The sequence below is a fragment of the Homo sapiens genome, chromosome 2, assembly GCF_000001405.40.
Source record: "Homo sapiens chromosome 2, GRCh38.p14 Primary Assembly".
Taxonomy (NCBI): domain Eukaryota; kingdom Metazoa; phylum Chordata; class Mammalia; order Primates; family Hominidae; genus Homo; species Homo sapiens.
The window spans coordinates 26,148,328-26,161,660 of NC_000002.12; the positions used below are offsets into that span (position 1 = coordinate 26,148,328).

At 42.1% G+C, this 13,333-nt stretch overlaps 1 pseudogene; it reads left to right on the top strand.

Annotated features, from left to right (window-relative positions):
• Positions 787-2,945, top strand: SMARCE1P6 (SMARCE1 pseudogene 6; annotated as a pseudogene).

The following is a 13,333-nucleotide window of genomic DNA, read 5'->3' on the forward strand; positions in this document are numbered from 1 at the left end:
GTATTTTTTGGTAGAGATGGGGTTTCACCATGTTGGCCAGGCTGGTCTCAAACTCCTGAGCTCAGGTGATCCGCCTGCCTCGGCTTCCCAAAGTGCTGGGATTACAGACACCTCTTTGTGGTCTCTGCTCAAATGTCCCCTTGTCATTGAGACCTTCCCTGGCCACATTGCATAGGACAGGAACAACACCTCTCCCAGTCCTGAATTCGCTATCCTTTTCACTTGGCTTTCTTTTTTCCTCCACAGCTCTTTCCACCACCTGACATATTAACATTTACTGTTCATTTGTTTATTGCCTGTCTCTGCTAGGATAGAAGCTCCAAGTGGGCAGGGGCTCTTTCTGTCTTATTCATGGCTCTGTCTTCAGCACCTAGAACAGCACCCACTGCATGAACGATGCTATTTGTTGAATGAATAAACCTGATCTCTTGTGCCCCTACTTCCTACTGGGAAATCTACAGTGAAGAGAGGAGAATAAAACTAACATTTTTGCAGCATTTTCTTAGGGTCATGGAGGGATTCCTAGTGTCCCAAAGGTGCTTGTCTGAGTCCTGAAAGTGAAGGGGCTATTTGTAGTAAACAAACAAACAAACAAACAAAAAACCCACTTTAGGACATAATATAGGAAGTGGGCTGGGCTCAGTGGCTGGTGCCTGTAATTCAGCACGTTGGGAGGCTGAAGTGGGAGGATCACTTGAGCCCAGGAATTCGAGACCAGCTGAGGCAACAGTGAAGTCCCATTTCTACAAAAAATTAAAAAATTGGAGGGGTGGGCATGCATGGGATAAAGGGAAGTGAAGCCAGGGCTTGGGGCACTTTTTCTGCCCATGAAGTCTCAGATTCATTCTTAAGGAACTGAGAACTTAATCTTCCAAAATGTCAAAAAGACCATCTTATGCCCCAACTCCCACCCCAGCTCCTGCAACACAAATGTCCAGTACACCAGGGTTTGTGGGATACAATCCTTACAGTCATCTCACCTACAACAACTACAGGCTGGGAGGCAACCCAGGCACCAATAGCCGGGTCCCAGCGTCCTTTGGTATTATGATTCCAAAACCCCCAAAGCCACCAGATAAGCCGCTGATGTGCTACATGAGGTACAGCAGAAAGGTCTGGGACCAAGTAAAGGCTTCCAACCCTGACCTAAAGTTGTGGGAGATTGGCAAGCTTATTGATGGCATGTGGGGAGATCTCACTGATGAAGAGAAACAAGAATAAACAAATACAAAGTAGAAAAGATAGAGTACAATGAATCTATGAAGACCTCTAATTCCACACGAACCTTGCTTACATAAATGCTGCAAAAAGTCATGCAGAAGCTGCTTTAGAGGAAGAAAGTGGACAGAGGCAGTCTCGCATGAAGAGAGGAGAACCTGACGTGAGCATTCAGCTTGCTGAAGATCCAGATGATTGTGACGATGGCTTTTCATTTCTTTTTTTTTTTTTTTTTTGAGACAGAGTCTCGCTCTGTCGCTCAGGCTGGAGTGCAGTGGCGTGATCTCAGCTCACTGCAACCTCCGCCTCCTGGGTTCAAGCGATTCTACTGCCTCAGCCTCCCCAGTAGCTGAGATTACAGGCACGCACCACCACGCCTGGCTAATTTTTTTTTAATCTTTAGTAGAGATGGGGTTTCACGATGTTGGCCAGGCTGATCCTGACCTTGTGATCCACCTGCCTCGGCCTCCCAGAGCGCTGGAATTATGGGCGTGAGCCACCGTGCTGGGCTGACAATGGCTTTTCAATGGAGCATACGGACACCGCCCGTTTCCAGAGAAATCATGGCCGCATCAGTGAAATCCTTAGTGACAGTGTGGTGCCAGACATTCCGTCCGCTGTCACAACAGCTAGCATGCAGGTCCTCAAGCGACAGGTCCAGTCCTTAATGGTTCATCAGCGAAAACTAGAAGCTGAACTTCTTCAAATAGAGGAACGGCATCAGAAGAAGAAGAGGAAATTCCTGGAAAGCACGGCTTCATTTAACAGTGAACTTAAAAGGTTGTGCGGTCTGAAGGTAGAACTGGATATGGAGAAAACTGTAGCTGAGATTGCACAGGCAGAGAAACAGGGCCGCAAAAGGCAGGAGGAAAGGGAGGAGGCGGCAGTGCAAGCTGAGCCAGTCAGAGCAGCCTCGTTCCTGAGGAAGAGCAAGCGGGCAACAAAGGCGAGGAAAAGAAAGACGACACGAACCTTCCAAGGGAGACAGAGGAGACACACTCTGAAGAAGAGCCAACGGAACAGTGAAGAAGGCATGTCTACTCCTGAGGACAAGGAGAGTGGGTAGGAGGGGTCGACTGTATGGCAGAGAAGGAACCAGTGATAGTAACACTGGCTTGGAGAGTAACAGCCAACAGTGGAAGAGCCACCAACAGATCCCATACCAAGAGACGAGAAAAAAGAATAAATGTGGCCTTGTTTTATGTGTTCTAAATACTTTTTTTGTTTGTTTGTTTGTTTTTGTTTTTTTGGAGACAGAGTCTTGCTCTGTCACCCAGGCTGGAGTGCAATGGCCCGATCTTGGCTCACTGCAACACCCACCTCCCAGGTTCAAGCTAGTCTCCTGGCTTAGCCTCCGGAGTAGCTGGAATTACAGGTGCCAGCCACCACACCTGGCTCACTTCTGTATTTTTAGTAGAGATGGTGTTTCACCATGTTGGCCAGGCTGGTCTTGAACTCCTGACCTCAAGTGATCCTCACCCACCTTGACCTCCCAAAGTGCTGGAATTACAGGCATGAGCTACTACGCCTGGCCTTAAATACTTTTCTATTTTTATTTTTATGTTATTATCTTATTTTATAATTTTATTTTTATTTTTGAGACGGAGTCTCACTCTGTCACCCAGGCTGGAGTGCAGTGGCCAGATCTTGGCTCACTGCAACCTCTGCCTCCTGGGTTCAAGTGAATACATACTTTTTTTTAATGAAAAAATGTTTTTTGGTTTAAAAATAAAAAAAACTGGCCAGGTGCGGTGGCTCACGCCTGTAATCCCAGCACTTTGGGAGGCTGAGGCAGGTGGATTACTTGAGGTCAGGAGTTTGAGACCAGCATGGCCAACATGGTGAAACCCTATCTCCACAAAAAATACAACAATTAGCAGGGCATGGTGGTATGCACTTGTAATCCCAGCTACTCGGGAGGGTGAGGCAGGAGAATCACTTGAACCGGGGAGGCAGAGGTTGCAATGAGCCGAGATTGCACCACTGCAGTCCAGCCTGGGCGACAGAGTGAGACTCTACCTCAAAAAAAAAAAAAAAATTAAAGAATTAGCCGGGCATTGTGGTGCTTGCCTGTAGTCCCAGCTACTTGGGAGGTTGAAATAGAAGGGTCACTTGATCCCAGGAGTTTGAAGCCGCAGTAACCTATGATCACACCACTGCACTCCAGCCTGGGCGACAGAGTGAGACCTTGTTTCAAAAAAAAAAAAAAAAAAGTCCATGTACTATATTATCACTGGATATGGAACTTTACCCTGAACCATACAAAAGTATATTATATACAACTGATTAGAGTTTATAATTTCTTTTTTCAGAACTAAATGTTTTATCAACATTTAATTTCCCATAATATTATAGTATTAAATGTTCACATAAAGAAAAACCAGAAGAGACTATGGACATTTATAAAACAGGGTTACACTAAACAGGTCCCAATAAGTTTTAAAAGATTAAAATCATAAAAAGTATCTTCTATGACCACAATAGAAAGTAGAAATCAATAGCAGAAAGAAAACTGGAAAATTTACAAGTATGTGGAAATTACATAACATATGTGGAAATAACTAATTAGTCAAAGAAGAAATCACAGGTGAAATTAGAAAATTCCTTGAGATAAATAAAAACTAAAATGCAACATACTAAAACTTATGGGATACAGGAAAAGCAGTGCAAACAGGGAAATCTATAGTTGTAAATGCCTATATTTAAAAATGAAGAAAGATCTCAAATCAGCAATTTAATTTTACACCTCAATGAACTAGAAAAAGAACAAATTAAACCCAAAGTTAACAGAAGGAGAGAAATGGTAAAGATTAGAGTGGAAATAAACAAAATAGAGTGTAGGGAGACAATAGAAAGAAAATCAACAAAACTAAGAGTTGGTTTTTTGAAAATAACAGCAAAAGACAAACCCTTAGCTAGATTAAGAAAAAAAAAAGACTGAAATAATAACTAAAATTAGAAATGAAAGGAGACTTCATAAATGATGCCACAGAAATGGAAAGGATTAAAGAGACTATGATGAATAATTATATGTCAACAAACTGGAAAACTTAGAAGAAATGGATAAATTCCTAGAAACATATAAGCAGCATGACTAAATAATGAAAAAATAGAAATCCAAACAGACCTCTAAGTAGTAAAGACATTGAATTAGTGATCAAAAGCCTCCCAAAAAAGAAAAGCCCTGGACTGGATGGCCTCACTGGAGAATTCTACAAAACATTTAAAGTAGAATTAACAATTCTCAAACTCTGCCAAAAAAAATTAAAGAAAAAGGAACATTTTCAGTCTCATTTTATTAGGCCAGCATTATCCTGATACCAAAGGCAGACAAGGATCCTATGAGAAAACTACAGACCAATATCCTCGATGAATATTGATGCAAAAATCTTCAACAAAATCTTAGCAAACTGAATTCAACAGCACACAAAAAGTTCATACATCATGACCAAGTGGGATTTAGCCCTGGGATGCAAGGATGGTTCAGCACACAAAAATCAATAAATGTAATACACAGAATGAAGGACAACAATCACATGATCATCATAATTGTTGCAGAAAAAGCACTTGACAAAATTCAACACCCTTTCATGATAAAAAAACACCCTACAAACTAGGATTATAAAGAAATTACTGGCTGGGTGCGGTGGCTCATGCCTGTAATCCCAGCACTTTGGAAGGCTGAGGTGGGTGGATCACCTGAGGTCAGGAGTTTGAGACCAGCCTGACCAACATGGTGAAACTCCATCTCTACTAAATACAAAAAATTAGCCGGGCATGGTGGTACATGCCTGTAATCCCAGCTACTCAGGAGGCTGAGGTAGGAGAATCACTTGAACCTGGGAGGCGGAGGTTGCAGTGAGCCGAGATTGTGCCATTGCATTCCAGCCTGGGCAACAGAGTAAGACTCTGTATCAAAAAAAAAAAAAAAAAAAAGAAGTTTTCTCAACACATTAAAGGTCATATACGAAAAGCCCACAGCTAACAGCATACTCAAAGGTAAAAAAAAAAAAAATGAAAATGGAAAAGCTTTCCTTTTCTTAAAGGAAAATTTAAGATCTGGAATAAGGCAAAGATGCCCACTTTGGCTTCTTCTATTCAACATAGTACTGGAAGTCCTAGCCAGAGCAATTAGACAAGAAAAGAAATAAAAGGCATCCAAATTAGAAAGGAAGAAGTAAAATTATCTTTATTCACAGATGACATGCTCTTAAATGTGGAAAACCCTAAAGATTCCACAAAAGATTCTAACAAAATAACTGTTAGAGCTAACGTACAAATTCAGTAAAGTTGCAGGATACAAAATAAACACTTGTATACAAAATAGTCATTTGTATTTCTATATGCTAACAATGAATAATCTGAATAGGAAATTAAGAAAACAAAACAATTTACAATAGCATCAAAAATAATAAAATACTTAGGAATAAACTTAACCAAGGAGGTGAAAGACTTGTAACTGAATACTACAAAGCATTGCTGAAAGAAATTTAAAAAGACAAATAAATGGAAAGACATCCCATATTCATGGGTTAGAAGACTTAATATTGTTAAACTGTCCATACTACTCAAAGTACTCTACAAATTCAATGCAACCCCTCTCAAAAATCCCCATGGCATTTTTTTGATAAATAGAAAAAAAAATTAAAATTCATGAGTAATATCAAAGGACCCAGAACAGCCAAAAGAATTACAAAGTTGGAGGATTTACACCTACTTCCTGATTTTAAAACTTACTACAAAGCTACAGTAATCAAAATAGTATGGTATTGGCATAAAGACAGACATATAGACCAATGGAACAGAATAGAGAGCCCAGAAATAAAGCCTCATGTTATATGGTCAAAGAATCTTTGACAAGGGTGCCAAAGCTACACAATGAGGAAAGATTAGCCTCTTCAATAAATGGTGCTGGGAAAATTGGATATCCACATGCAAAAGAATGATGAATCCTTATCGTATACTATATACAAAAATTAATCCAGAATAAAGGCCTAAATATAGACCTAAAATTATAAAACTCCTAGAAGAAAACATAGGGGAAAAATCTTCGTGACATTGGACTTGGCAATGCTTTCTTGGATATGACACCAAAAGCACAGATAACAAAAGCAAAATAGGACAAATTGAACTACATCAAACTTAAAAACTTTCACACAGCAAACAATCAAAAGAGTGAAAAAGCAACCTACAGAATGGGAGGAAAATATTTGTAAACCATATATCAGATAAGGGAATAATATCCAGAATATATAAAGAGCTCCTGTAACTCAATAGTACAAAACTAAATAATCTTATTTTAAATTGGGCAACAGACTTGAATAGACATTTCTCCACAGAAAACATACAGATGGTCAACAAACACAAGAAAAGATGCTCAACATCACTAATCATCAGGGAAATGCAAATCAGAACCACAATGAGATACCACCTCATCCATTAAGAGGCTCACTATAAAAAAGGAAAAAAAAAACAGAAAATAATAAGTGTTGGAGAGCATGTGGAGTAATAGGAATCCTTGCGCGTTGTTTGTGGGATTCTAAATGGTGCATTTGCTATGGAAAACAGTACAGCGGTTTCTCAAAAAATTAAAAATAGAATTACCATATGATCCAGCAATCCAAATTCTGGATATATAGCCAAAAGGATTGTAAACAGCAGATATTTGCACATCTATGTTCACTGCAACATTATTCACAATAGCTGATATGTGGAAACAACCTAAATGTCTATCAATGAAGGAATGGATTTAAAAAATGTGTTATGTACATTACAATGGAATATTATTCAGCCTCAAAATAGAAAGAAATCCTGTCACATGCTACCACATGGATGACATACCTTGAGGACAGTATGCTAGATGAAATAAGCCAATCACAAAAAGACAAATAGCCAGGCGTGGTGGCTTATACCTGTAATCCCTGCACTTTGGGAGGCTGAGGTGGGCAGATCACCTGAGGTCAGGAGTTCAAGACTAGCCTGGCCAACATGGTGAAACCCCGTCTCTACTAAAAATACAAAATTGGTTGGGTGTGGTGGCACATGCCTGTAATCCCAGTTACTTGGGAGGCTGAGACAGGAGAATTGCTTGAACCTGGGAGGAGGAGGTTTTGGTGAGCCAAGATCGCACCATTGCACTCCAGCCTGGGCAACAAGAGTCAAACTCCGTCTCAAAAAAAAAAAAAAAAAAAAAAAAAGACAAATATTGCATGATTCCACTTATATGAGGCATCTAATGTAATGAAAGTCAAAATCAAAAGCAGAATGGTGGCCAGGGGCTGGGGGGAAGGGAATGGGGAGTTGTTCATGGGCACAGAGTTTCAGTCATACAAGATGGAAAAGTTCTAGATATCTATTGTACAACAATATGCATTTAATTAACAATACTGTACTGTACACTTAAAAATTAAGAGGGTAGGCTGGGCACAGTGGCTCATGCCTATAATCCCAGCACTTTGGGAGGCTGAGGTGGGAGGATTGCTTGAGCCAGGAGTTAGAGATCAGCCTGGGCAACACAGTGAGACTCTGTCTCTACAAAAGAAAAAAAGAAAGAAAGAAAAAGAAAAAGAAAAGATTAGCTAGGTGTGGTGGCACATGCCTGTACGGGAGGCTAAGGCAGGAGGATTGCTTGACCCCAGGAGGCCGAGGCTTCAGTGAGCCATGATCACGCCACTGTACTCCAACCTGGGTGACAGAGCAAGACCCTGTCCCCACTAAAATAAAATTTAAATACATAAATAAATTATCAGGTTAAAATTTTGTACTTTTTACCATATTTTTTTATTTTATTATTTATTTATTTATTTGAGACAGAGTTTGCTCTGTTGCCCAGGCTGGAGTGCAGTGGCACGATCTCGGCTCACTGCAATCTCTGCCTCCTGAGTTCAAGGGATTCTCCTGCCTCAGCCTCCCAAGTATCTGGGATTACAGGTGCCTGCCACCATGCCTGGCTAATTTTTGCATTTTTAGTAGAGACAGGGTTTTGCTGTGTTGCCCAGGCTGGTCTGGAAGTCCTGAGCTCAAGTGATCTGCCCACCTTGGCCTCCCAAAGTGCTGGGATTGCAAGCGTGAGCCACTGCAATCGGCCCACAATTTTTAAAAATTGACAAAGAAAAAATTTTAAAAATTTAAAAAAGACAAAGAACAAAACACAAGGCAAAAGTTTTAAATAGACATTTCTAAGGAAGATAGACAAAGGGCCAAAAAGCACATGAAAATATGTTCTATATCATTGGTCATTAAGGAAATGCAAATCAAAATTACAGTGAGAGACCACTTCACTCCCATTAGGACGGCTATAACAAAGCCAAACCAACAAACAGGCAAACTGTAAATTAGAAACCAGAAGACAGGCTGGGCGCGGTGGCTCACGCCTGTAATCCCAGCACTTTGGGAGGCCAAGGCGGGCGGATCACGAGGTCAGGAGATCGAGACCATCCTGGCTAACACGGTGAAACCCCGTCTCTACTAAAAATACAAAAAAATTAGCCAGGTGTGGTGGCGGGCGCCTGTAGTCCCAGCTACTCGGGAGGCTGAGGCAGGAGAATGGTGTGAACCCGGGAGGCAGAGCTTGCAGCAAGCCAAGATCGCACACTGCACTCCAGCCTGGGGAACAGAGCAAGACTTGGTCTAACAACAACAACAAAAAAACGGAAGACAACAAGTGTTGATGGAGATACGGAGAAACTGGAACCCTCATATGTTGCTGATGGGAATGTGAAATTGTTCAACTACTACTGTGGAAAACAGTTTGATGATTCCTCAGTAAGTCTAACATAGAATTACCAAACAACCCAGCAGTTCCACTCCTAGGTATTTACCCAGAAGAACTGAAAACAGGTATTTAAACAAAAACTTGTACAAGAATGTTCTTACCAGCACTATTCACAATAGTCAAAAGGTAGAACAACTCAACTGTCCGTCAACTGCTGAAAGGATAACACATATGGTATATCCATACTTTGGAATATTATTCAGTCATAAAAAGTAACATAGTATTGATACACACTACATTATAGATGAACATGGAAAACATTATGGTAAATGAGTGAAGCCAGACACAAAAGGCCACTTGTTATATGATTCCATCATATGAAATAGCCAGAAGAGGTACATCTATAGAGACAGGAAACAAATCAGTGGTTGCGAGGGCTGAGGATTGAAATGGGGAGTGACTGCTTAATGGGCGCGGAATTTCCTTTTAGGTGATGAAAATGTCCTGGAACTAGTGAGGATGATTGCACAACATTGCAAATGTACTAAATGCCACTGAATTGTCCTTTTTTTTTTTTTTTTTTTTTTTTCAGAGATAGGGTCTCTCCCTTTCGCCCAGGCTGGAGTGAAGTGGCTTGATCATAGCTCACTGTAACTTCGAACTTTTGGGCTCAAGTGATCCTCCTGCCTCAGCCTCCCTAGTAGCTGGGACTACAGGTATGTACCACCACACCTGGCTAATTTTTCTATTTTTTGTAGAGACAAGGTCTTGCTATATTGCCAAGCCTGGTCTCAAACTCCTGGCCTCAAGCAATCTTCCTGTCTCAGCCTCCTGTCTCAAAGTGTTAAAATTACAGGCATGAGCCACTGTGCTTAGCCTAAATTTTAAATTCTTAAATGATGAAGTTTAAATTTGTTGTGAATGTAAATTTATGTGAATGTTACCTCGATTTTAAAAAATAGTGTTACATAATTTAATCAATGGTTCATTAGTAAATTAAACAGTTTCGTTACTGATGGAAGATATCTGAGTTACCTGGAGTTACCCACGGTGAATCTGTACGGATCTGCGGCAACCTTAATTCTTGCCTCCTTGGAAGAAAGAATTCAACCGAGGGGCATAGGGCAGAAGAGACAGAGGCATGTTTCAGAGCAGGAGTGGAAGTTTATTAAAAAGCTTTAGAACAGTAAGGAAAGGAAGGAAAGGGAAAAAAAAGAAGGAAAATACAACTTGGAAGAGGGAAGTGGGATGACCTGAGAAACCAGTGTGCAGCTTGACCTCTGGACTTGGGGCTTTATATATTGGCATACTTCCGGGATCTTGCATTATAACTTCTCCCCATTCCTGAGATCTTACTGGGAAGCTGCTGATCAGTTTCAGGTATTTTCTATCTATTAGGAAACTGTCCTTCCCTGGCACCAGCTGTGACGAATTATTACTTTAGAGAAACAGGTGGCCGGGCACAGTGGCTCATGCCTGTAATCCCAGCACTTTGGGAGGCCGAGAAGGGCGGATCACCTGAGGCCAGGAGTTCAAGACCAGCCTGGCCAACATAGTGACACCTCCCCCCACCATCTCTACTAAAAATGCAAAAATTAGTCAGGCTTGGTGGCGCGGGCCTGTAGTCCCAGCTACTTGGGAGACTGAGGCAGGAGAGTCGCTTGAACCCAGGAGGCAGAGGTTGCAGTGAGCCGAGATCATGCCACTGCCCTCCAGCCTGGGTGACAGAGCAAGACCCTGTCTCAAAAAAAAAAAAAAAAAAAGAGAAACAGTTAACAACCACCTGACCATCACCTGACAGGTCTCCCAACACGCCTGGTCTATGTGTTGGTGGGGAGCACTCTCCGGCGCTGCTCATACCTGACTAGCTACCTACTGTAACAATTTGACTTAATAAGATTCCACTGACTGGCCGGGTGCAGTGACTCCTGCCTATAATCCCAACTCTTGGGGAGGCCAAAGTGGGTGGATCACTTGAAGTCAGCAGTTCGAAACAAGTCTGGCCAACATGGTGAAACCCTGTCTCTACTAAAAATACAAAAATTAGCCGGGCGTGGTGGCACGAGTCTGTAATCCCAGCTACTTGGGAGGCTGAGGCAGGAGAATCGCTTGAACTTGGGAGGTGAAGGTTGCAGTGAGCCGAGATTGTGCCACTGCACTCCAGCCTGGGGGACAGAGCAAGACTTTGACTCAAAAAAAATAAAAATAAAAATAAAAATAAAAAATAAAAAAAAGAAAAAGAAGAAAAGATTCCACTGACAATACAAATAAATTGAAATCTGTAATTTGATTAAAAAGTAGAGATTCTCATGTCATGTAATAGTGATTTCACAGTGAGTTTTGAGTTTACACTGGGTTTACTAGTGAGGTCAGGACCATAACATGAAAGATAATCCAATTGACCATGAAGGCGTTCCCATCAGTTGTTCAGTCACTCTGTAGGTGACTGGGTGGGGGCTTTCCCACAACTTCTGGAAACTCCTTGGTGGGCGGATCACCTGAGGCCAGGGGTTCAAGACCAGCCTGGCCAACATGGTGAAACCCCATCTCTACTAAAAATAATTTTAAAGAAAGTGAGCCAGGCGTGGTGGTGCATGACTGTAATCCCAGCCACTCGGGAGGCTGAGGCAGGAGAATCGCTTGAACCCAGGAGGCGAAGGCTGCAGTGAGCTGAGATCGCGCCACTGCACTCCAGCCTAGGTGACAAAGCCAGTGAGACTGTCTCAAAAAAAAAAAAAGTACCAATTATGCTATGGTTTTGTGCTGGGAACAACTCTATTTCCCCAGGAACTAGGGGATCTCGCTCCTTTTCCTGTTCTGATTCCAGTGGAATGCCAGTGTGTCAACTCCTAGGATTTGCTGCCATCTTCAAGACATCAGGTCTTAAATCTGGAGAAGGAAGCTACACCACGCTTTTGGAGCCATGCATATTATCCAGGTCTATCTATTGCTCAGATTGGCAGAGGAGTGCTTTTGGTGTTTATCTTAAAGTAAGTTGTCACCCAACCCAAGGTCACCTAGATTTTCTCTTGTGTTATTCTCTAGGAGTGCTATTATTTTATATTTTACATTTAGGTCTATGATCCATTTTGAAATAATTCTTGTGAAGGATGTAAGGTCTGTGTCTAGATTAGTTTTTTTGTTATATGTATGTCCAATTGTTCTGGAACCATTTGTTGAAAAAGACTGTGCTTTTTCCATTGAATTGCCTCTCCTCCTTTGTCAGAGATCAGTTGACTATATTTGTGTGGATCTATTTCCGAGGTCTCTATTCTACTCCATTGATGTATTTGTCTTATTGCACAGATTGGAATTTCAGGGGAATTGTTGGACAATCTGTTTCAGGCGACAAAGGCAAAGCTGTTGGATCCCCAGCTAATTATTGACTTGGCTCACAGAAAAGATGTTGGATTATTTCAACCGGTTTTATTTTTTTGTTTTTTTTGTTTTTTTTTTTTTTGTGAGACAGTCTCGCTCTGTTGCCCAGGCTGGAGTGCAGTGGCGCGATCTCGGCTCATTGCAAGCTCCGCCTCCCGGGTTCACACCATTCTCCTACCTCAGCCTCCCAAGTAGCTGGAACTATAGGCGCCCGCCACCACGCCCAGCTAATTTTTTGTATTTTTAGTAGAGACGGGGTTTCACTGTGTTAGCCAGGATGGTCTCGATCTCCTGACCTTGGGATCCGCCTGCCTCGGCCTCCCAAAGTGCTGGGATTACAGGTGTGAGCCACCTCGCCCGGCCTATTTCTACAGTTTTACTCCATCATTTGCAGTCACTTAAGCCCAGATGACACCAAGTCCATCTGAGATGTTCAGGCAAGTGTGATTCTGAAATGGTGTGAAAGACCACTGACACAAAACCTCTCTTTTGGGAAACAGTTTGAATAATTTTTTTTTTTTTGAGACAGAGTCTCGCTCTGTTGCCCAGGCTGGAGTGCAGTGGCATGATCTCGGCCCACTGTAACCTCTGCTTCCTGGGTTCAAGCGATTCTCCTGCCTCAGCCTCCCGAGTAGCTGGGATTACAGGCACCCACCACCATGTCTGGCTAATTTTGCATTTTTAGTAGAGATGGGGTTTCGCCATGTTGGTCAGACCACCTCAGCCTCCCAAAGTGCTGGGATTACAGGCGTGAGCCACCATGCCCAACCCGAATAAAGTAATTTTTAAAGGATTCTGAAACTTGCCATGTTTTGAAAGTAAAGAACACCATTTAAAAAGCAAGAGATGGGCTGGGTGCAGTGGCACATGCCTGTAATCCCAGCACTTTGGGAGGCCAAGGCGGGTGGATCACTTGAGGTCAGGAGTTCGAGACCTGTCTGGCCAACATGGTGAAACCCCATCTCTACTAAATACAAACATTAGCTGGGCGTGGTGGTGCACGCCTGTAATCCCAGCTACCTG